This window comes from Homo sapiens, chromosome 7 (genome assembly GCF_000001405.40).
Source record: "Homo sapiens chromosome 7, GRCh38.p14 Primary Assembly".
In the NCBI taxonomy this organism is placed as follows: Eukaryota; Metazoa; Chordata; class Mammalia; order Primates; family Hominidae; genus Homo; species Homo sapiens.
Genome location: NC_000007.14, coordinates 38,683,147 through 38,708,700, shown reverse-complemented (window position 1 = coordinate 38,708,700; position 25,554 = coordinate 38,683,147). Strand labels below are relative to the sequence as shown.

Sequence of the window (25,554 nt, the reverse complement as noted above, 5' to 3'; positions counted from 1 at the left end):
TTGCTGTGTTTCAGTCTTATGTACGTGTTACCACCAGCAGCAGCTGTTTAAATAAAACAGGCACACTGAAATACATACAAAATAGGAATGGTCTCCAGTGTTACACTTGTGATAACTTATGATCTGGGAAAGACTCAGATTCTCTCTGACTTCTTCAAGCCCTTCATGGATAAAGAAAATAGAAGAGAAAAGAATGACTTGTAAATGGCCTACTAGAATATATCCCACATGTTTTTCTTACAATATAACTGCCTTGACCACTGGAACATGGCAGAGGTGACCAAGGCTAGGTCATAAAAGCATCATGCACTTCCATCTTGTTCTACCAGGATGCTCAAGCTCTAAGACAGCCCAGGTCCTGCATCCAAGGAGGCTCTGCATAGGTGGAGCAGATGACAGCCCCAGCAAAGACCCTAGCAGACAGCCAGCATCAACCACCACACATGAGAGTGACTCCCAAAATCACCAGCAGGGAGCCGGCAGGTCTGGGGTTCAAATCCAGGTGAGTCAGGAGCCTCATAGTAGCCTGTCCCATGGAAAAGCAGAAAAAATGAGTGCTGAGGGAACCTGGGGAACCCTCCACTCTTCTCCCTTTGTTCACCAGAAGAGGAAACTAAGGCCAGAGTGGGGAAGTGGCTCGCCCACCTTGCATAGCCAGAGCAGGACAGACCTGGACAAGACCCATGCTTGGCATTCCTGCTGTCACTCTGGGAAGACTCTATACTGGGAACAGAAGCAGCATCGTTAAATTCCTGCTCATCACTCAGGATCATCGTGGGCAAAACTATTTTTTAAGTGTACAATTCTGTCGCCTTGAGTTCATTTGCACTGTTGTGCAATTATCACCACCATCCATCTCGACCCCTTTCCTCATCCTAAATTGAGAAACTGTACTCATTAAACACTAACTCCCCATTCCCTCCTCTCTCCAGTCCCTGGCAACCACCATTCTACTTTCTGTGAATTTGATTACTCCAGGTATCTCATGTACGTGGAATCATACAATATTTGTCCTTTTGTGACTGGCTTACCATTCATTTATTGATGGTTGCTTCCATCTTTAGGCTGTTATAAATAATGCTGCTGTGAACATTAGTGTATAAATATCTGTTCAAGACTCTGCTTTAGATTCTTTTGGGTATATCCCAGAGCAGAATTACTGCATCCTATAGTAATTCTACTTTGAAATTTTTGAGGAATTGCCTGCACCATTTTACATTCTCACAGCAATGCATAAGTGTTCCAATTGCTCCACATCCTTGCCAACACTTGTTATTGTCTGAGGGTGTTTTTGGTTGTTTTTTGTTTTGTTTTATAAATAGCAATCCTAATGGGTATCATTTGGTATTTCACTGTGGTTTTGATTTGCATTTTCCTAATGAAAGACACTAAGTTTTTGGATGGTTGGTTACCTAGCCAATAGAAAACCTGAACATGAATTAATCACATTTCCCTTTAGCACTGCCTACGATAGACAGGCCTGTCTGTACAGAAATTGTTTATTTATTTATTTATTTAGAGACAGAGTCTCGCCCTGTCACCCAGGCTGGAGTGCAGTGCCACTGTCTTGGCTTACTGCAACCTCCGTCTCCCAGGCTAAAGTGATTCTTATGCCTCAGCCTCCCAAGTAGCTGGGATTACAGGCATACACCACCACTCCCAACTAATTTTTGTATTTTTAAAAGAGACAGGGTTTTGCCATGTTGGCCAGGCTGGTCTCAAACTCCTGGCCTCAAGTGATCCACCCGTCTCGGCCTCCCAAAGTGCTGGATTACAGGTGTGAGCCACCACACCCAGCCAGAAATCTTTTTTTTTTTTAGTCATTCTAGAACAATCTCCTCTGTCTCTCACTCTTCACATCCCTTAGGAGATACTACAGGCTCTTGTCTCTACTTTCAGAAGAACACCCCAATCCACCCCTCCTCTGTAACCCACTACTGCTGCTCTAGCTTAGTTCTTTGTGACTTTACACTTGGATTTAGTGTACCCATGAAGTAATTCTTTCTCAGGATTGACTGCAAAATTGGTTTTTGCAAATCTTGAGAAAAATCAGTGAAGAAATTGAGACAATGGAAAAAAGTATTATAATTCTGTGATGATTGAAGCTTAATAATCAACAAAGAGATCATTACTGTTTCAAGGGAATCCATTGACATTAAGAGCAGGAAACCCCTACAAGAGAGTCAAAGGTTAAGGTCAACATTTTGGGAAATGGGAATGGGAGTGTGGAGGAGGGACGTCATCCTCATCTAATCCAACAGTCTGGCTCGTAGCAGTTGCTGTGTTCCAAGAGTGTACTATGGTCCTATCTGCTGCAAGCAAGGATTCTTGCAAATCATAATAAATATTAAGAAATGTATACCTATGGTTCACTTTACATAAACCTTATGAGGGGGATTCCAAGAAATAATACATTATGAATGTAGAATAAGTCTTTAAATTGGCAATTTTGAAACTTGATTCTGTCTAGTAGTGTTAACCTTGCTAGGAGATCCAAATGTTAGGTTATTTGAATACTACTCACTTGTATTTCCTGATGTTTTCCAGTGTTTGAACATTTGCTGTAAGCTATAGTTGTTTATAAATACTTTAACAGAAGAAATGCGAAGAAAAGAAGCTATGAATATTGTTTTGGAATGCTTCATTGGGAAATTAGAAATGGATAAAAAATCTGAATTAGCAAAGCAATATAAATTATAAATTTCAATAACAAAACCAAAATCAGGGCAAGTAAACAAAATATTTTCATTGCAATGAAAAAAATCCTTTCGTTGGATTAAAAAAGATTAAACTTAAATGAAGCAGCAACTGCCCTAATATCCAACTTCAAGATGCTGTTTGGTGCAGTCTTAATTAACCAATGTCAATGTGAAATGAAAGAAATTTTTTCTACATTTGGAATGTTTGTCATGAAAAAAAAAACTGAGGCTATTAAGTAGGACAATTGGTGTTTGGTATATTTAACATTTCCATTTTAAGAATTAATAACTTTTAAATATTAAATATGGTATTTAAAAATTTTTTTTTGGTGGGGATACGGAGTCTTACTCTGTTGCTCAGGTTGGAGTGCAGTGGCATGATCTCGGCTCACTGCAATCTCCACCTCCCAGGTTCAAGCGATTCTCCTGCCTCAGCCTCCTGAGTAGCTGGGATTACAGGTGTGTGCCACCATGCCTGGCTAATTTTTGTATTTTTTTAGTAGAGACGGGTTTCACCGTGTTTGCCAGGGTGGTTTCAAACTCCTGACCTCAGGTAATCCAGCCGCCTCAGCCTCCCAAAGTACTGGGATTATGAGCCACTGTGCCCAGCCAGTATTTTAAAAATTTTAAGTGATTTTAACAGCGATTTGTTGCATGTTAATATTCTCAGCTTATAATGTTTTATTATCAGATAGAGAACATTTTTACATGTTATTGAAATATATAATCTTGTCACAATATATTGGTCCAATTTTTAAAGCTGTTTATTATTATATCTGTTTTTAGCAGAAAATTAAAATATTTAGTGTATAACCCATCCCAGAAAAAATAATTTACCTATATTATTATGCTTACTCATTATTATTCAAAAACAGGTAAATAAAATGTTTTGAAAATGACAGAATAGCTTGTGATTTGAGGAATTCATGACAATTCCAGGGAGTTCCACAGTTTTGTTCACAAATCCCAAAGACTAATCTATTGGGAATTTGGAAACACTGCTTGGCCTATAGCAGCCACTTCCTGGCTGGCCTTGCCTTTGTTTTCTGCCACATTCTGTCTGTGCTCCTCCCTACTCTCAGACAGATTCACCATGAGCCCAAAACTGTTCACATCATTTTCCCACTTGGAACTCCTCAGTGGCTTTCTACATTTTTGTTCACACACTCTTATCTGCATAAAAGTTTTTAGAATTCACCCCAAAATATGCATATTTATTTATAAATTGCATAAATGTACTGCTATGCAAAATCAGTGTGTTCATCTTAAAACAGGCAAAATGTAAACATTAAAAAGGTAAAAATGTGTTGAAGTACTCACAGAAGTTCTAATCTTACTTTCAGTAAACCAGTGAATCATTTTGTTAACTTTTAGGAGGGCATGCACTTTACTTTGAAGTTCACTGATTTAAAGGATAAAAATCCAAATTCCTAAGCAATTTTCTTCATGGTCAGTCCATTTCCCCAACCCCTCTGCAACTCCCTGCACTCTGAGCAAGTTGGACTGCCTGAGGTCCCTGTACGTGGAATGTTCTTTCTCATTTTTGCCATCCTGTACATTTTGTCTTTGCTGTCTGGGATGAACTAGCCTCCTAGTTTGCTTGGCAAACTTCCTTCTAACTTTTTAGCCTCAATCTAAACATTACCTTTTCCAAGAAGGCTTACTTAACTCTCTCTCTGGGAAGAGTTGGTAAATATTAGGTTGGTGCAAACGTAATTGTGGTTTTTGCCATTACTTTCAATGGCAAAAACCACAATTGTGTTTACACTGACTTAATAATACTAACCATTATTTTCATGATCATCCTAAAGTGTCCACTGCCATTCATGGATTGCCTTTGGGAGTCTGTGCATACCATCCCCTGTAATCTCTGCAACAATGCAATGAGACTTAGTGTTCCTTTTCTGTTGGAATAAAACAACAAAGGCTCAATCCGCCTGACTCTGGAGCCCAAGCACGAGGCTGCTTGTCTTCTAGTGACTTCTTTCGTGGCTTTTTCCTCATTGCAGTCAGTATGTGCACAGCTGTATCCCTCACAAGACAGGGAGCCCCCAGAGATCTGGGGCTGCCTCTAGCCCATCTTTATATTTGTGCTATTCAGCATCAGACCTGACTTATGAAAACACTCAATAAATAGTTGCTAAATAAATTTGTGAATAATTTTTAAAATAATTTCATGATCCTTTATAGTTTGTATATTGATGAAGTTCTTGGGCAAATTAATCCTTATAAGCAATTATTTATAAAGCATTTTTTATCATTAACTCTATGTATGTGTACACACAAATTAAGTAAAAACTCTCTTGATCTCTCATATCATCTAATCTGCTCCCTGTCAAGAAGTTATTTTATAGAATATGGAACACAAGCCGATTTTAGAATGCCATGACATGGGTTTCATTATTATTATTATTTTGAGACATTATTATTATTATTATTATTTTGACACTGTATCACCCAGGCTGGAGTGCCGTGGCTCGGCTCACTGCAACCTCCCCCTCCCAGGCTCAGGGAGGCGCCTATAGTCCCAGGTAGCTAGGACTACAGGCACACACCACCACGCCTGGCTAATTTTTGTTTTTTGCTTTTTTTTGTAGAGACAGGATTTCACCATGTTGCCCAGGATGGTCTCTAACTCCTAAGTTCAAGTGATCTGCCCGCCTTAGCCTCCAAAAGTGCTGGGATTACAGGCATGAGCCACCATGCCTGGCCAGGTTTCATTATTTGCTTAGCTGCAACTCTTCCAAAGTTACACAACGTTTATGAGCCACATTTTCCTCTTCAGTAAAGTGAAGTCATTGATAATATATACCTGTTGTTTGTGAAAATTATGAAGCATTTAGAACAATGACTGGTACATATTTATTGCTCAATATTTGTTGTTATAATTTTTAAAGATTTAAGAAAGTTCTTCTGGGGTAGGTGGCTTCAAGCTTCATAAAGTTGTGGCACCTGAGGGGTTTCACTACCTTAGACCTCTGGTCTCTAAACCACATCCCTGGGCCATCACCTTCACTCTCGCATTTTTGATGATCATCTTTTGTTTGCTAGTTAATTCCATGCCCTAATTCCATGCCTAATTCCATGCCGTTAGCCCAGGTAGCCTTCCAAAACTTCAGACTCGCATATCCAAATCCTACTAGATATATCCACTGTGACCCTTCTCAGTCACTTCAAACTCACCAGGTCTCAAACAGAAAGAATAGGGCAAAGGAAGAAAGGACCAGGGGAGGACACGGACTTGAAGGAGAGTTTGTTTCAGATGGAGGAGGCTTGAGCACCTTTAATGCTTGCAGGAAAGAGGCAAGTAGAGGGAGTGGCTGGAGACACAGAGTGAAGAGAAGCAGTGAGGGCCTGCAGAGACGGGAGTGAGAGGGAGTGGCCCAGGGGACAGGCACAGGAGGTGCTGAGACGTCCCTTCCCCGGTGGGGAGAGTGGGGGACACAGACCAATTGATAGAGGGGGATGCAGGAAGGTGAGTGAGTTCTGCCCAAAGACTGCTCGTTTCTTCGAGAAAAAGAAGAAGATGCGGTTTGTTAAAAACAGAGTAGGAAAAGGAGAGCTGGGCGCTGTATTCAAGTTTGAGGGTTTCAGGCTGCTGCCAAGGAATGGAGGATAAGCTGTCATGCAAGGCTGTGTGAGGAGCCTGATGAGGTCAGAGAACAAGTCAGTGCCCGTCCATCTCTGAGACTGTGACTTTCTCTCTGGTGCTTATTGGCCAAAGACTGGGAGAGGTGGGCTGTTAACAGAGCAATGTTGGCTCTTGGATCCAATGTAAGGGTGTAGATGGTTTACACTAGTGCGGAGTCAGAAGGCCAAGCATGTGTGGCCCATGAGTGGGCACATGAGGCCACACCTCCCACTTGAGGTGACTTCAGCTGTCAACTGAAGTAAGACTTCACAGAAAGAGCTATAACTGAAAAAAGTAATTAAAGTTGTCTAGCTTATAAATGCAAACGTAGATATTTATAAGCTCGTATGTCGCGTTAGGGCACATGCCCAGTGTTGGGGAGAAAACTGTTTTAAGTGTCCACCGTGGCAGCCTGCCCTTTGGCATCGCCATGTATAATCACTCCCATAAGATTTCAGGTGAGAGCTCCAAATCTTTCATCTGTAGTCTCTTTTTATACTATTTAAAAACTAAATATCAAATCGTTTGTCTATTTCCTATTTTCCCTGGAAGCTTCCTGAGGCTGAAATGATTTTGTCACTTAGACCGGTGTCTTGACCATCATTTTTTAAAAAATAGAACATTGAGGTATTTAATAAGCATAGAGGTATTGATAAAACATAGCTGTTTTATCTTCCTCTGATCACAAAAGCTACACATGTTCATTAAAAAAAAAAAATTAAGTGGCCGGGCGTGGTGGCTCACATCTGTAATCCCAGCACTTTGGGAGGCTGAGGCGGATGGATCACAAGCTCAGGAGTTCCAGACCAGCCTGCCCAACATGGTGAAACCCCGTCTCTACTAAAAACACATAAAAAATAGCTGGCGTGGTGGCACGTGCCTGTAATCCCAGCTAGTCGGGAGGCTGAGGCAAGAGGATCATTTGAACCCGGGAGGCAGAGGTTGCAGTGGGCCGAGATCACGCCATTGCACTCCAGCCTGGGTGACAGGGCGAGACTCTGTCTCCAAAAAAAAAAGTAAAAAAAAAAAAAAAAAAAAAAATTTAAAGCTGCTCCTAATTACAACACTTCATGGTAATCACTGTTAATACTTGGGAGTAAATATTTCCAGTTTCCCCTAGATATGTCATTGGTTTTCTTGGCCTGTGGTTAGCAATTCTGGCTCTGCTTTTGTCTCGATATTATGTTGTTGCCATACACCTCCGTACAAGCATAGTCCAGGTAAACTCTCCTCCTCAACCCAGCGCAAACCCTTCAAACACAGCAGTGGATTCCAAGTCTCAGGACTCCTTGGAAACTACAGATGGAAAGACTTCTCCACAGACCCTTGCTTGTCTGTGGTCTCTAAAATCCATTGCCAAGATGGGGCCTCATACTTGACCCTAGTGGGCACTCAATGTGTGTTGAGTTAATGAATGAAAGTTTTCCTTTGCTCCCTGTTCTGCTTGTCTTACCTGAGGCGATGCCGCATGTGATAGCACAGGATGAATGTTTCTGAACACAAAAAAGATGGAGCTGTTAGGCCACACCTGCAGAACAAACCTAGGATTTTCAGAAGGAAGTCTTTGGAACTGGCTCTGGTCCAGCGTTTCCCAGCAGCGCTCCGTGGAGCATCAATCCCCCAGCGAGCTCAGAAAACAAGGGACATGTGGTGAGATGAACTTGAGAAACACTACAAGCATATTAGTATATTTAAAAAGCATATTAATATATTTGAATAGCATATTATTAAAATCTGGGATTTTATATATTTTAATATATTAATTATATTGTCATATTAACTTGTATTTTACAGAAAAGGGAAACAGGCTGGAAAGGTGACGTGACTTGCTGAAGCTAAGGAGTACCAGACCCAGGCTTGACGGAGCCCCTCTCCGCTTCTGGGTCACAGCTCTTTCCATTTCTCCCTGCTTTCCCCTCTGGGTTTCTGTTACTTCTAAAAGACTCAGAGGGAAAGTTCTAAAATTGGACCAATGGGACGTTTTTAGCTCTTACCAGGCAGATTTTTCCACAGAGCTTGAGAAAGTTCCTGTAGTTCCAGTGCTGCGATCTCAAGATCCCAGGCTCGTTGCCAGGTGATTCCTATGCTGGCTGTTAGTTAAACACAGTCCAGGTAAAATGAAATTTTGTTCAAGGGACACTGCTTTCTATTTTACAAGGATGCTAGTAAATGGCCACTCCTTCTTCCATATTTATGTGAGTCATGTCTGTCATGTAATTGATATAAAATACCACACTGATTTGCATTCATATACAATTTCAGGGCATTCTTTCACTTGTCACAAAAATGAAGTTATCCACATACCTGAACTTTTAAAAAGTAATTTGTATTTTCCCTTGGAGTCATAAAAATTTTAAAAAAGAGTATGTCCAGTGAAATCTTTCTACATACGGGACATCCACTTGCCAAACCTCACTTAACTTTGTTGTGATTGTCAACACCAACGTTGAACAGAGAGACTCTCCAGCCACTGAGATCTACCCCAAAGGGAGAGACAGTATGGAGTGGCAGTGAGTGGCTCAGGTTTCAGACGGAGACATTTGTGTTATACTGGCCCTGTCATGTATAACCTGTGGGGTCTGGGACGGTTCACTTCACCTCTTGACACCTCAGTTTCTCCCTATAAAATGGGGATAACAATGCCTGCCTCCAAGACTTGTGGTAAGGATTTAAACAGCTTGGCCCAGAATAATCCCTTAATGAGTCATAAACGTCATTGCCTCATCTGTTTCTGGAAGTGTTTAAGATTTCTTTTTCTTCCTTTGTATTTTAATCAGAAACAGTCATTTTTTGATGCTTTCTGTCCCTGGTGTCTCTATCTCTTGGGGAGTCCTATCATTCACAAGTGCTCCAAATCTTTTGAATGCCCTTTCTAGCTTTGACTAGTTCCCCACTGTGGAAAGCCTACCTTTCTGAAACAGACTTCAAGGAAATTATAGCCTGCCAATCAGATGCACCCATGAGTTGGCTTGATTCGGAACACAGGGTGTTCCTATTTGAAGCCACCTGGTCACACTCAAAGCCAGTCAGGTATAATAGCTAAAGCTCCAAATAAAGCTAATCCCCTCAATCACACATGGCCTCCCCATCACACTCAGCAGGGAAACCCATTCCAATTCTTTCTTCCTCTCCCCCAAATGGCCTCATTGGAGCCCACCGGCTGCCACCCATGCCCCGGGGACTCGAGGACAGCTTCTGTCAGCTCCACTTGGTTCAGTCAGAATGATCCAGAGAAGTGAAGGGAGCTGGTTACCCAATAGACAGAGGTCCTTCACACCTGCAACCAGCCTTAGGCATATCTTCTGTGTGCTACCATGTGATAGAGTGATTGTCCCTTTCTTCACTATCAGAGGCCTCTTTCTGTTATCCTAGTCTTGGTACCTGCAGGATCATGGAACAAAGTGGATTTGGTGGGGACATGAGGGCAGAGACTCACCTTACCAAGCTAGATTTTCAATTAGGAAATATTCTTCAAAACCTTAAATTCTGAAAACAGACGTCTGCCTTGTCATGTGATCTTCACTACATTATCCAAGTTTCCTGTTTAGAACCATTTATTTCCTTAACTTTCATTTCCCACTTGATAAAAATGTGATCACAGTTGAGAACTGAAGTGAAAGGATGCAGTGTAGTTTAACCAATTAGAAGCTGGTCGGATGGGCTTGTGTTTGGCTTTGACAGAGTGGCTGATAATCTGACTTACTCAACTCTAAAAGCTGGAAAAAAAATGCCACCTCCAGGACTCCCATGAAAAAACAAAACAAAACTGTTTGGAGATATCAGAGGGCAAGCAAGGTAGTCAGGGCTTAGGAGAGAGAAAGGAAACTCACAGAGGTGAGCTGGGCCTCCTCCAAAGCTTTGTACCTGCAGAGCATTTGCCAATCCACACTGCAGGCGTAGAGGCCCAACAGAGTCCAAAATGAACCAGAGGCTGATACGGTCTCACCAGCTTGGGCAGGCCCAAATTGTTCAGGGCTACCAAGGCAGCTAGGAATTAAGGAGCCAAGTTCCTGAAGTGAGGGGAATTTGCAGAGGAAGGAGTTCCCTAGCCTGCATGGAATTCACCACTGAGACATTTGAGGGTACCTGAAGGTGCATGTTGCAAGTGAGAAACCAGGAAGACTAAGACTGATGCAGCCATTCAAGAGATCACTGCCTATGTACGCACCCCCAATGGCACAACAACTAATAACTAATGGATAGACAAACCCACAAAAATGACAAGCCATCCGACCATAAAACTGAGGAGCACGATTAAGTCGAAACTTTGCAAGCAAACTCCAGGGAAGAAAGAAAATATGATAGAAACCTATATTGTAAGACACCTAGAAGCAAATTAAAAAAGAAATGAGAGGCTGGGTGTGATGGCTCATGCCTCTAAATCCCAGCACTTTGGGTGGTTGAGGCGGGAGGATTGCTTGAGGCCAGGAATTCCAGACCAGCCTAGGTAACATATCGAGCCCCCATCTCTAAAAAATTGAGATATGAATGCACCACTACATTTCAGCCTGGGTGACAGAGTAAGACAATGTCTCAAAAAAAAAAAAAAAAAAAAAAGAAAAGAAAAGAAAAGAAAAAGAAATGTGAAAGGCGAATATTGAAGAAAACAACTAAAGTTACGGAGATACTTGTATAATTGAATCAATGAAGCGATATTTCTGATTTCTGGTTGGAAAGACAAATTATAAAGGTACCAATTTTTCCCACATTCATCTGTGTATTTTACACAACTCCAATCAAAATCCCTAAAGACTGCTTTTAAAACATAATAAAAACAAGTTCTTTTTTTATTTTTCTTTTAATTTTTTTATTATTATTATACTTTAAGTTTTAGGGTACATGTGCACAATGTGCAGGTTAGTTACATATGTATACATGTGCCATGCTGGTGCGCTGCACCCACTAACTCGTCATCTAGCATTAGGTATATCTCCCAATGCTATCCCTCCCCCCTCCCCCCACCCCACAACAGTCCCCAGAGTGTGATGTTCCCTTTCCTGTGTCCATGTGTTCTCATTGTTCAATTCCCACCTATGAGTGAGAATATGCGGTGTTTGGTTTTTTGTTCTTGCAATAGTTTACTGAGAATGATGATTTCCAATTTCATCCATGTCCCTACAAAGGACATGAACTCATCATTTTTTATGGCTGCATAGTATTCCATGGTGTATATGTGCCACATTTTCTTAATCCAGTCTATCATTGTTGGACATTTGGGTTGGTTCCAAGTCTTTGCTATTGTGAATAATGCCGCAATAAACGTTCCAAGTCTTTGCTATCGTGAGTAATGCTGCAATAAAGATACAGGGCTGGTTTCTCTGCAGCTGTAAGGTGACAGCTCTGGGATCCTGGGACAGGGCTACTGACACTGGTGGTGTGACTGCTCGAACTCCACACCTGCCTTCCTCTCCCTGATGCTGGGTGAGTGAGGCCTCCTTGGGGGTTGCATGGATCTCAGCACTCAACTTCCGAGCCACTTGTGCTTCTCCCACTATGCTGGGGTTCCCCTGAATGCAATAAACATACGTGTGCATGTGTCTTTGTAGAAGCATGATTTATAATCCTTTGGGATTATAAATTTGAAAATTATTAAGACTGATCTTGTTTCAACTTTAAGTAACATACTTAAAAGTGAACATTCCAAGTCATCTTCATTCAACCTCATAAAGCAAACACTCTCAGACACTCTGCAATAATGGGATGGCTGGGTCAAATGGTATTTCTAGTTCTAGATCCCTGAGGAATCACCACACTGACTTCCACAATGGTTGAACTAGTTTACAGTCCCACCAACAGTGTAAAAGTGTTCCTATTTCTCCACATCCTCTCCAGCACCTGTTGTTTCCTGACTTTTTAATGATTGCCATTCTAACCAGTGTGAGATGGTATCTCATTGTGATTTTGATTTGCATTTCTCTGATGGCCAGTGATGGTGAGCATTTTTTCATGTGTTTTTTGGCTGCATAAATGTCTTCTTTTGAGAAGTGTCTGTTCATGTCCTTCACCCACTTTTTGATGGGGTTGTTTGTTTTTTTCTTGTAAATTTGTTTGAGTTCATTGTAGATTCTGGATATTAGCCCTTTGTCAGATGAGTAGGTTGTGAAAATTTTCTCCCATTTTGTAGGTTGCCTGTTCACTCTGATGGTAGTTTCTTTTGCTGTGCAGAAGCTCTTTAGTTTAATTAGATCCCATTTGTCAACTTTGGCTTTTGTTGCCATTGCTTTTGGTGTTTTAGACATGAAGTCCTTGCCCATGCCTATGTCCTGAATGGTAATGCCTAGGTTTTCTTCTAGGGTTTTTATGGTTTTAGGTCTAACGTTTAAGTCTTTAATCCATCTTGAATTGATTTTTGTATAAGGTGTAAGGAAGGGATCCAGTTTCAGCTTTCTACAAGTTCTAAGTCAATATATGAGAATAAACCTGTGAGTGATTAGAAAGAAAACCTGTGAGAATGTTGAGAAATGTTTGAAAAAGACAGTAATGAGAATAGCAGAAATTAAAAGCATTTTAGAACTAGAAGAACAAAAATAGATATCACTAGATGGATTAAACACATAAGCGTAAACAAGCCACAAAATGCAAATTGTAGTAGTAAGCCAAGGTAATGTAGATGAATATATATATGATTTTCTTTTTTATGCTACAAACTTTGATCCATTTTGTATTTTTGTTGGATTTAAGAAGTGAGATAGGAATTAGCCTTTATTTTTCTGAAGTAGTTTGCTATTGACTGAATTCCCACACCTATTCTAAGTGATCATTTATCATATACCAATTTTCTGTGATTCATTCATTGTCTAATCCTTTCCCTGTACTATTTTAATTGCTATGATTTCATGTGTTTCTATGTGCAAAGGACAAACCTATCTCATTATTTTTTATTTTTAGAATGTCTTCTGGCACTTCTCAGTTATACATTATTTTACAAGACCTTTTAAACTATTTGATCAAATCACAAAAGTAAGTATTTTTGTTTGCAACTGCATTTAATTTGTTTGTAGATTTGAGAAGATGGGTGATATGGTTTGGCTGTGTCCCCACCCAAATCTCAGCTTGAATTGTAGCTCCCATAATTCCCATGTGTCGTGGGAGGGACCCAGTGGGAAGTAATTGAATCATGGGGGCGGTTTCCCTGATACTGTTCTCATCTTAGTGAATAAGTCTCATGAGATCTGATGGTTTTATAAGAGGAAACCCCTTTCACTTGGCTCTGATTCTCTCTTTGCCTGCCGCCATGTAAGACATGGCTTTTGCCTTCTGCCATGATTGTGAAGCCTCCCCAGACACGTGGAACTGTGAGTCCATTAACCTTCTTTTTCTTTATAAATTACCCAGTCTTGGGTATGTCTTTATCAGCAGTGTGAAAATGGTCTAATACAATGGAACACCTCCACATTATTGAATCTTTGGGCCCAATCAGAAGATATGTTTATATTTTTCTTAAAGGAGGTATATTTTCAAAGAAAGGGATAGGATATTTATAGGTTTATATCTATTTATCTGTATCTATTTATACATATATGAATAATACTATATATGTAAGTATATATAATATAGCATTATTCAGCTGTAACAATTTTTTACTGTGTAATCTGTCAATGACTAGAAGAGATTTATGTTACTATGCTTGTATTATTGTCACATTCTATATTTTCAGCAGGATTCTTATAGATAATCCTTGACTTCTTTACATCTGATTTTCATAAAAGTTAAACTTTGTTAAATGACTTTTGATTCCTCTACATCAGCTCTGATGTGCTGAATTCAGACTTTCCTACACAAACTGACCTCAAAACTCTCTGAGTTGTTTTTCATGGTGGGGGTGCCTATCAGCCAGTCAACGGTCCACTTCCTTTTTTTTTTTTCCTTTCAGCAGAGACGGTTTCGCTGTGTTGCCCAGGCTGGTCTCAAACTCCTGGCCTCAAGCAGTCTTCCTGCCTTTGCCTCCCAAAGTGCTGAGATTACAGATGTGAGCCACCATGCCTGGCTTAGAGTTCATTTCTGATACTATTACTCTCTTGTCTTATGAAATTATCTGAATATTAATTTGATCTCACCTTTATTATTTTATAAAAATGATCGTAACATCTAAACATAAAGGGGTTGATGCTGATGGTAAGAACTGTAGCTTTTTCATAAGATTAATTCTAATGCAATAAAGATGGAATTTATCAGAGGTAACCAAGTAGCAAATCCTCAGTTTCCTTCAGGCATTTATTATGAAAGTAAAGCAAAATTAATGAAACTACATGAACTACATTGAAACTATATTAATAAATATAGTTCCAGACACTGGAACATCAGTGTCTGGTGGAATATAATACAAGCCACACAGGTAATTTTAAATTTTCTAGAGGCCACATTAAAATATTAAAAAGATGGTTGGGCACAGTGGTTCACGCCTGTAATCCCAGCACTTTGGGAGACCGAGGCAGGCAGATCACGAGGTCAGGAGTTCAAGACCAGCCTGGGCAATATGGTGAAACCCTGTCTCTACTAAAAGTACAAAAATTGGCCAGGTGTGGTGGCACATGCCTGTAATCCCAGCTACTCAGGAGGCTGAGGCAGGAGAATCACTTGAACCTGGGAGGCGGAGGCTGCAGTGAGCCGAGATCATACCACTGCACTCCAGCCTGGGTGGCAGAGCGAGACTCCATCTCAAAAAAAAAAAAAAGAAAAAATTAAAAAGACACACATGAAATTAAATTTGCGATATATTTTATTTAATACAATGGATCCAGAAACATTATCATTTCAGCATAAAATAGGTATAAAAAATTACTAATAAGGCAATTTACATTTTTTTCATATTAAGCCTTAAAAAGCTGGTATTTATTTTACATTTACAGCGTGTCTCACTTCAGACAGGCCATGCTCTCAGACACTCTGCAGTGCTCAAGTATGGCCAGCGGCTGTTGTAATGGAGGGTGCAGACCCAGAAGGTAAGGTGTAGTTAGAAATATTGCCACACAGTAGCTCTCTTGGAATGAAATTCGCTTTGTAACTTAAAGGGTTTATCAGCTTTGGCATATTACATTTTCATAAACTTTTTCAAGAATAGCTTATAAATGAAAAGAATTGCTCACATGATGTTTTGATGCTATGGCTTCATGACAATTAGGAATCTCTTATGAACTTGACTCTTCAACCACATAAAGTTGTAAACCAAAAATAAAATTCTAAGGGCCCCCCAACCATTTGAATGGACTTCCTCCTAGGCCAGGGCAGTCTACAAGTTAACCTGAAGGATTGGTTCAGGCTGTGATGGGAAGTTGGGGTTGGACATGCCTCATTATACCTTCCAGCATTAACAGTAACACACATCCTAAGTCTGATAAGAAACATTTACAATCCACTGTCTGTGAAGCCTGCTACGTGGAGGCCTCATCTACATGATACAATTTTGATCTCCACAACCTCTTATCATAACCCAGACATTCCTTTCTATGGATAATAACGCTTTCAAGCAATTGCCAATCAGACTTTTTTTTTTTTTTTTTTTTTTTTTGAGATGGAATCTCGCTTTGTTGCCCAGGCTGGAGTGCAGTGGCGGGATTTTGGCTCACTGCAAGCTCTGCCTCCCGGGTTCACGCCATTCTCCTGCCTCAGCCTCCTGAGTAGCTGGGACTACAGGCGCCCGCCACCACGTCCGGCTAATTTTTTGTGTTTTTAGTAGAGACGGGGTTTCACCGTGTTAGCCAGGATGGTCTCGATCTCCTGACCTCGTGATCCGCCCACCTCGGCCTCCCAAAGTGCTGGGATTACAGGCGTGAGCCACCGCGCCCGGCCGCCAATCAGAAAAATTTTAAATCTACCTGTATAACCTGGAAGCCCCTCGTTACAGGAGATAGCTAGCCAGGCATGGGGTCGGGCAGGAGAGGGCTTCCCCCGCACCCCTACCAGGAAAGTCAGGTGACCATCAGGTGATGGTCAGGCGGTTGTTAACTGTCACTGGAAAATAATAATTGGTCGCAGCCAGCACCAGGGAAAGGCAATCTCCCTATGTTGATAGGAAACACCTGTGACTGGTAATCGGCAGCTTTCAGGAGTTGGGCGAGTCAGCTGGGGCGTGCAAATTAAGAGACAAAAGGTGGAATATGACCTTCCAGGGGGATTCCACCGGAAAAGGGAAGAAAGCCTCAGGCAGGCATTTGTACAGCTTCTTAAACACACTGTGCGTGCTCACCTCCCGAGCACAAGGAGGGCACCGCACATGTGGTGGCCCACCCTAAGGGAAGAATCATGGGAAAAGGGACGCAAGACCCGGGAAATATGCCGGCATGTAAAACCCCAAGTCCAAAGGTCAAATGCCTCACTTGTTCTTCTAAGTGTATTTTGCTTTCTTTCGTGCTCTACATCTTTTTAATAAACTTCCAGGCTGGGCATGGTGGCTCACGTCTCTAATCCCAGAACTTTGGGAGGCTGAGGCTGGTGGATCACCTGAGATCAGGAGTTCAAGACCAGCCTGGCCAACATGGCAAAACCCTGTCTCTACTAAAAATACAAAAATTAGCAGGGCTTGGTGGTGGGCACCTGTAATCCCAGCTACTCAGGAGGCTGAGGCAGGAGAATCACTTCAACCCGGGGCGGGCGGAGGTTGCAGTGAGCCGAGATCGCACCACTTCACAACAGCCTGGACGAAAGAGCGAGACTCATCTCAAAAAACAAACAAACAAACAAACAAACAAAAACCCCTTCCACTCCTGCTCTGAAACTTGCCTCTGTCTCTTTTTCTGCCTTAAGCTCTCAGTCAAATTCTTTCTTCTGAGGAGGCAAGAATTAAGGTTACTGCAGACCTGTATGATTCACTGTCTGTATTTGGATATTCGACGCCCCTAATGACACTGCCTTCAAGTTGTTATACCTTTCTGGACCGAACCAATGCATATCTTAAATGTATTTGGTTGATGTGTCATGCCTCCCTAAAATGTATAAAACCAAGCTCCACCTCAACCACCTTGGGCACACGTTCTCAGAATCTCCTGAAGGCTGTGTCACAGGCCATGGTTACTCATATTTGGCTCAGAATAAATCTTTTCAAATATTTTACAGAGTTTGACACTTTTCATCAACAAAGTAACACTCTTTGGCAAGTTTCCCCTGACATATTTTGCCCATCTGTTTATTTAAAATTTCGATTGCACTTGCTTTAGGAGTATCTCTTGTCGACACTAATATTAGTGTCGACAAGATGCACCGTTTTAATTGTATCTCATACAGACATTAACTCATTGGGTTTAATTTTGTGATTCAATACTTGAGTAAATACCATTTGCAGGTATTACCAGAGACAGTTTCATTCTCATTTTGTTTAAGTGTGCTTTCTTAGTTTGTATCTTTGCTACATGGCCTATATATTTTTTTTTTAGGTCATCTCACTCTTCTCCCTGTGGTAATTTGAAAATTATTAAGACTGATCTTGTTTCAACTTTAAGTAACATACTTAAAAGTGAACATTCCAAGTCATCTTCATTCAACCTCATAAAGCAAAACAAAATCTACTTCTCCCTGTGGAAGATGACAGCGCTCACCCACTTAGACTTCCTTCTATAAGCTTTAAGATTGCGTCAGAACATATTAGGATTTTTATGTGTCTGTTATCGTTATTTTTAACATTATGTAGCTTTTCGATAAATAGGTATAACATCTACATTCTGTACCATGAACATTATTTTTCTATTTTTAAATAATTTACTGTTTAGTCTCAGTCAGGGGTGGCCACCGAATTTTTAAGGCCCAGTTCAAAATGAAAATGTAGAGACTTTCCTCAAAAATTATTAAGAATTTTCAGATGACAACAGCTGAGCATTAAGCCACTTGAGGCCTGTTTCAGCACAAGGCCCTCTACAACCACATCCTAAGCCTGGGAAGATGGCACTGCTGCCGGTCTTTTCACACCCTTCCCCATTTGTGACTTAGTTTGATTTATCATTTGGTAGACTGGGTATAGACTTCGTACCAGTCCCTGCCCTGCTGGCCCTCAGAGTCCTTCCTTGCCCTTCCCCTGCTGTGCCCTGAGCCATAGGTTCTTGACTCAGCTGATTTTTCAGCTAGATTTCGCCAACAGGAATGTCTGCAAGAAACTGGAAGGATGGAGGAAGGTGAAGCAGAGTCTTTTTCTCCCAATCCATCTCAGTCAGCATCTCAGGCACCAGCTCCCCGTTGTCTAAAGCACTATCTCCATCCCCACTGGACAGGCCTGCCAGGATTCCAGATTCCTTCAGGCAACTCTGGCCCCTGGCCTGACTCCTTTGTCCAGACAGCCCAGGGACTGGCTGTTGGGCTAATCTTGAAGTGTCTTAATGTCATTTGTTATCTTAGCTCTTACGTCAACAGTGAAACTGAATTCCTTTATTCAATTCCTCCTGTTTCAAATACTCATGAGAAATATACTTCCTGATTTTATACAAAGAAGAGATGGCTGTCTGTTACCTTCATATGCAAATGACAACCTAGCATGATGTAAAATTCATGAGCTGTATGTGTTTGTTTTACTAAAGTTTGGAGCAGTGCCTCTCATACGTTAGCCATGCATCTGAATCACCTGGAGGGCATATTAAGACACTGATTTCTGAGTTCCACCTCCAGAGAATTCAAATTAGTATGTCCGGGATAGTGGTCCAGGATTTGGCATTCTAACAAGATCCCAAGTGATGCTGAAGCTGCCAGCCTGCAGACCACATCCAAGTGGCATTCCTCTGAAACTTGCTCCATTATCTGCCAGCATTTAATGCTACTTAGAAGATGTGTGAGTTCAGCCTCAGTTTTTAAGCTTAATAGGTGACAGGAGCATTCATAAGGCTATCTTTAACCTGGTAGTTCAGCAAGTTTTCCAGAATGTTGTGGCATTAGCCAGCCATTGTAAATTTTCTTCTTGATCAGATGATCGCTACCTTCCTTCATTTTAGAGAAAATTTCTTCTAAAATATTTTTAAGAATATATTTGTTTCTGTTTCATTTGTTCTGTCCTCTGTTTGAGGCAGAGCCACCAAACTATCCACATGTTGGCCTCTACTGTGGCTCCCTGCATGGTGGTTCTCCCAGGTTTCATGCACCTTGGGAGAAGCCCTGCTGAGCCCAGTTCTTCAAATAATTGATGGATTGGGAAGAAAACTAGGCACTCTGGTAACTTTATCCTCACATATATTTCCTTCAGATCTGTGGTCTACTTAGTGGAAAGTAACTCAGCCAGCCATGGGTCAGGCTGCTTGCAGGACCTGGGTCTCCATAATGCAAAGTCCATGTAGGCACCTGCTATTTCTTGATCCTGCCACCAGTGTCATTCTGTGGTGAGGAACTGAGCTCCTTTCTTTTCTTGGCTTCCCCAGATTCTTAAGTGCTATTCTCCAAATTGAAGGGACCTTAGAAAGATCTTCAAAAATTCCTGTGCTTTCTCTTCCCTCACTGCCTGCAACATGCTCTATGGAACTATATGTTGACTCTTCCCTCAACCTGGTCAAAAGTAAACAATCTATTGGCTGTTGTTTACAATCAGTGTGATATGGTTTGGCTGTGTCCCACCCAAATCTTATCTTAAATTGTAGCTCCCACAATTCCCACATGTCATGGGAGGGACCTGGTGGGAGGTAATTGAATCATGGGGGTGGGTCTTTCCTTTGCTGTTCTCATGGTAATAAGTCTCATAAGATCTGATAGTTTTATAAAGGGGAGTTCCCCTGCAAATGCACTCTTGCCTGCCACCATGTAAGATGTGCCTTTGCTCCTCCTTTGCCTTTTGCCATGATTATGAGGCCTCTCCAGCCACATGGAACTGTGAGTTTGTTAAACCTCTTTTTCTTTGTAAATTACGCAGTCTCAGGTATATCTTTATTAGCGGCATGAGAACAGACTAATACACAGTGAGAATAGAGAACATACTTGTTTTCTGAATAGACAAAGTTTTCTGAACTATGAATTAACATTTTTGTTCATTTAGGTCATTATAAGGAAGGTGTTACTTTTTTATTTCCCAGTAAGTTTTCTTTCCTAGTTTAAAGATAACTCATAAGGAGCAAGAGATTTTCCAGTATGAAGAGAGGAATAATGCAGAGCAGTTTTCAAGGAGTCGGAAGGAGCGAGGAGACTCTATAAACCACATTCTTACTCTGAAGTACTTTAGAGTTTGAGAGAATAAGTAGTTTCTACTTGAGATAAAAAGGAAGCAATGTCCTTAAGAGAAATCCAAGTTACAATTAAAATAAGGAGAGGCAAGGAACTGTCAATAAAGAAGCAGTCTATGGAAAAAGGGAAGTTTGCTAAAAATCATGTAGCTGGACTTCCAAAGCATAACTGGAAGTTTTATGCAGCATGGGAGGAAAAGGGTGTTGGGCCAAGGGAGAAAATTCAGAATCTTGTGATGATACAAGCACAGGAGAGAATAGGTGACCAAAGGAGACTATGATTTGAATGGCATTCAAAGAAACCAGGAATGTTCAGCAGAGAGGGTTGCTACTTCAGACAAAAGAGAGGGGAGGGCAGCAGCTTCCTTCATCATCTGATGGAGTTAGGCATCTCAGGTAGTGAGCAAGGAAGTCCAAATCTAGTCACTAGGTGCTCAGGAGTGGGCAGTCATCCTACCAGCTTGGACCCTGTGTGTCTGGTTCCAGTGAAGATTAAGTCATCAAACCAAGGGAGCACAGGGACCAAGAGGTAAGCTACAAAAACTACAGCTCTTCTCTGAGACATCCCCTCCAAGATCCTGTCCAGAGACACAGGAGGAGGCAATGGTGCTGGTCAGCGCTTTGTGCCATTTTGTGGCCTCTCCTACCTGCCCCCTCTTTTTGGCCCAAGTTCTTGTCCTGCCTGCTTACCCACCCACTGCCTGCCTATGGTCCTTCCCTCTGTGGTCTTTAGTGTCCTCACTGGTAAAATGAACATAACGTCTCTAATCATGCATATTCACGCAGTGAGGTAGATAATGTGAAAGGGCTTTGAACAATGTAGTAAGGGAAAGAGACTAGGATACTGACTTCCCATTTTCCCAATTCTTGCTTCAGAACTGCTCTCCTAGGCCCCAAGCCCCTACCTCTGTTAGCCCCTTGATCAATCTTTGCCTGTCCAGGGGCAAAACTACGTAATATCCCAAGAACAGGGACTAATATTACAGCCCCATTTCTTTTCTTTGCTATTTCCCATGATCACTCTTAAACCAAGAAACAGATCTTTTCTCTGATTGGTGGGGCCTCCTCACTAGAACAAAGGGGAGAATGTACGTTTCATAATAGGGATTCTGTGATGAAATGACCTAAGGAGATAAATGTACATTTCATAATAGGCATTCTGTGATGGAATGTCCTGAGGGGATAAAAGCTGGAGTCGGTCTCAGCACATCTCAGTTACTCATTTTGACTCGTTTGGACAAGTGAGTTACTACAGCGCTGATTTGGAAAAATGACTAGAAAGCTACCTCCAATTTCTCGGCCTCAACCCCAGCCTCATTTTCTTTCTGTTCCTTCCCGCTCTCGTCTTCCAGCCCTCCTTCCCCCCGTTACTCCTCAAACTTCCTGCCGTCAGCCTCCTCTCCAGAGCCGTCCAAGTTGTTCGATTTTCTGCCCTACCCGTTTGCCCAAGCTGACTAATGTCGCCCCTTCCCAGTACCCTACCTCAAGGAACTTCCTGCCCGGCCCTTCCTCTGTTACTACCAGGGCGTCCGTGTGCCGCCGCCCTGTTCGTCAGGCACCCCTTTCCCGGTGTCCCCCTATCTTTCCCCCTCACCCTCCTCATAGCCCTTCTTTCTAGTCCCCTGTACTCTAGTCCCCACTCCCTATCCAGCCACCCCCAACCAGACCTGACGGCTTGCAAATCTCACCCTGGAGAAATGGTTTCCCTCCTACTGGGGCAGTTCCCAGGCGGTCCAGAATTGCCAGGACTTGTGGATTCCCAGCAGCGACCTGGCAGACACGGGGAATCCAAGACCATGGCAAGCGAACATTCGGCCTGGCCTGCGCCTTTCCTCTCCTGCCTGGGCAGCCAGACTGCACAAGCCTCTGCATTTGAACTGGCTTCTCCGTGGAACTTGGTTTGTAACCACGGAGCAAACTGCAGGACCAGGGGCAGAGAAGGTAGGGGAGTGAAAAGCATCGAATCTGTTCTCAAGGAGGGAGGTGATTGGACAACGTGAGGTCTAGTTTTATGTTCATTATCTCCTGGGTTTGCCAGTTGATGGCGAGCCTTTTTCCTGGCAGTATCCAGAGGCGGTTCTAGTAAAGAGGCTGGATTCCGAGAGGCCAGAGCGGTATCATACGAACGCCGTTGCCTGGAGACGGAGTGGGGTGCCATTGCCTAGAGACTGCAGAAGGCCCGCAGCCAAGCGAGTGGTAAGAGGACGCCGAGAGAGCCCCGGACCCACGGAGCAGCCCCAAGGCTATGGCGGGACACCCGAAAGAGAGGGTGGTCACAGATGAGGTCCATCAGAACCAGATCTTGCGGGAGCTGTACCTCAAAGAGTTACGAACCCAGAAACTCCACACGCAGTACCATGTGAATCCCCTGCGCAAGGTTCACAGGATTACGAGGAAGCCTATGTCTTGGCATGATAACCTGGAGGAACCCGCAGACGCCAGGTTTCTGAATCTCATTCACCATGCTGCCCAGGGGCCAACGAAGAAGTACCCGGAGGCACAGACTGAAAACCAGGAAATTGGGTGGGACTCAGAAGCCTTGGTCGACCCAGAACGCCGTGACCACAGGATGAACCACTTCAGGGTCTACAGTGACATCACTCTGTACAAAGCTAAAATGTGGAGCTTGGGAGAAGATGATCGCCACAAGTAGCATCTCAGCTGTGGAGTCAGGCCCTGGATTTAATGCCCTAAATATCCACTGCCTAGAAGACTAAACATTATTTTAACCCCCCGTCCCCCATCCATAATTCATGGATAATGGCAAAAATTAGGAAGCATAAAAAATATGCGGAAGAAGGAAATAAAAATTGCCCATTATCTCACCATATGGAAGTGACTAATGTTAGCATTTTAAACCATTTGTTTTTAAAATTAATAATAAATTGCATATATTTATTGTGTACAATGTGATGTTTTGAAATACGTATACATTGTGGAATGGTTAAATCGAGTATCTCACATACTTATTTTGTGGTGAGAGGACTTAAAATCTATTCTCTTAGCGATTTTCAAGAATACAATACATTGTTATTAACTGTAGTCACTACAGTGTATGACAGCTCTCTTGAACTTATTCCTCCTAACTGAAATTTTGTATCCTTTAGCCAACATCGCCCCAATTCCTACCCCTAACCCCTGGTAATCACCATTCTAATCTCTACTTCTATGAGTTTGACTTTTTTAGATTTAGAAAATGTGGTATATTTACTTAATGGAATACAATTCAGCCTTAAAAAAGAAAGAAATCCCATCATTTACAGCAACATGGATGAACTTGAAGGACATTATGTTAAGTGAAATAAGCCAGGCACAGAAAGACAAATACCACATGATCTCACTTATATGGTGAATCTAAACATGCCGACATTTTTGCATACTTCTATATTTTTCTGTATATTTGAACTTATTGATCTTACGTTTTGATTAATAAAAGATTGTAAGCATGTATTTTCAGACAGGTGGAGAGAACTGACAGGAATATGATCCTACTTATATGGCATGAACATATAAGATTTGATTATGCCTCTTGTCCCAGTGTAATTACAAATAGTGCCTTCTTTCACTCTCAAAAGTCTTGGTGGAAGCAAGACTGAAGAAAGTTGGAGGAGAGGGTAGAGTTTTACAGGAAGTTAAGGAAAGTTAAGATAAAGTTAGTTGAACAAAAATAGTAACCATTATACTGTCGGTTTTGAAGCCACCAAAAGAAATTTAACTTAACATTTTAAATAATTAATGCTAATTATTATAATAATTATATAATAATTCATATAAATAATTAATGCTAATTATTCAAAATGTGGGGGCCAGGCGCAGTGGCTCACGCCTGTAACCCCGGCACTTTGGGAGGCTGAGGTGGGTGGATCGTGAGGTCAGGAGTTGGAGACCAGCCTGGCCAACATGGTGAAACCCTGCCTCTACTAAAAATACAAAAATTAGCCGGGCGTGGTGGCGTGCACCTGTAATCCGAGCTACTCAGGAGGCTGAGGCAGGAGAATCGCTTGAACCCAGGAGGTGGAGGTTGCAGTGAGCTGAGATCATGCCACTGCCCTCCAGCCTGGGCAACAGAGTGAGACTCTCTCAAAAAAATAAACAAAATGAAATTTGGGAAGGAGGAGAAAAGCAGGGGGGAGAAGTGTTAAGTGAGTTAAGTTCTTATCTTGGATGTTGCCCAAACAGGAACAATGGCACCACATAGAACACAGTTCTATGAAACTGCTCTTATGGAAACTCCATGGCCACTTCACACTATCCCTTCACACTTTTGATTTTGAGGACTACAGTCTAGCTTATACCTAGACCATAGAACCTCCACTACAGTTACTGCAGAATATCTCTACCCACAGATTGGCTAGAACATCCCATCATCCCTAAGTGCTAATTTTTTTCTAAGTTTTACCTAAGCAGTATGTTTGCTTGATAAAAACTAGGTCACATATGGGTTCTCAGTTTCAAGAGAGTCTAGGAAATGCAGGGTTTTTTGCTTGTTTGTTTGTTTGTTTGTTAGTTTGCTAGCTTCTGTAGTACGGGAAGGCAATAGAAGCTGTTGGAGTTTGCACTGAGTGAGCCAATTTGCAGGATTTTCCATAATCCACTGGCCTAAATAACACCTGTTGACAATATTTTAAAAAGTAAATATTGTACATATATAAAATGAGAAAATTTATACAGTAAAACAGGCATAAAATAAAAGGTAAAAGCTGCTTTTTATTACCCTTTTCATCATCTCTTCCTTTATTAGTTATCTATTGCTGTGCAATAAATTACCCCCAAATTTAGCAGCTTAATATAACAAAGCACCATTGTGTCACAGTTCTCGGGGTCAGAAGTCTAGCTGCTGCTTAGTTGGTTGTCTCTGGCACGAGGTCTCTCAGAGGTTTCAGTCAAGCTGTTGACTGGAGCTTCAGTCTCACCTAAACGCTTGACTAAGGGAAGGTCTTCTTTCAAGCTCACTCATTTGGTTTTTGGCAGAATTTAGTCCATCACAGGCAATGGATTAAGGGCCTGGGTTGCTCATAGACGGTTTCCTGCAGGCCTCCCCCGGTTCCTTGCCACAGGAGTCTTGCACAGGGCAGCTCACAATACGGGAATCAGAGGCCCTCTG

General features: G+C 41.9%; 1 pseudogene across 1 annotated transcript; it reads left to right on the top strand.

Moving 5' to 3' along the window:
• The first annotated feature begins 21,611 nt into the window (after window positions 1–21,611).
• CFAP144P1 (CFAP144 pseudogene 1) lies at window positions 21,612–23,355 on the top strand (annotated as a pseudogene). The gene is made up of 2 exons (NR_028347.1): window positions 21,612–22,391; window positions 22,489–23,355. The product of NR_028347.1 is annotated as a CFAP144 pseudogene 1 (transcript).
• Window positions 23,356–25,554: the final 2,199 nt, after the last annotated feature.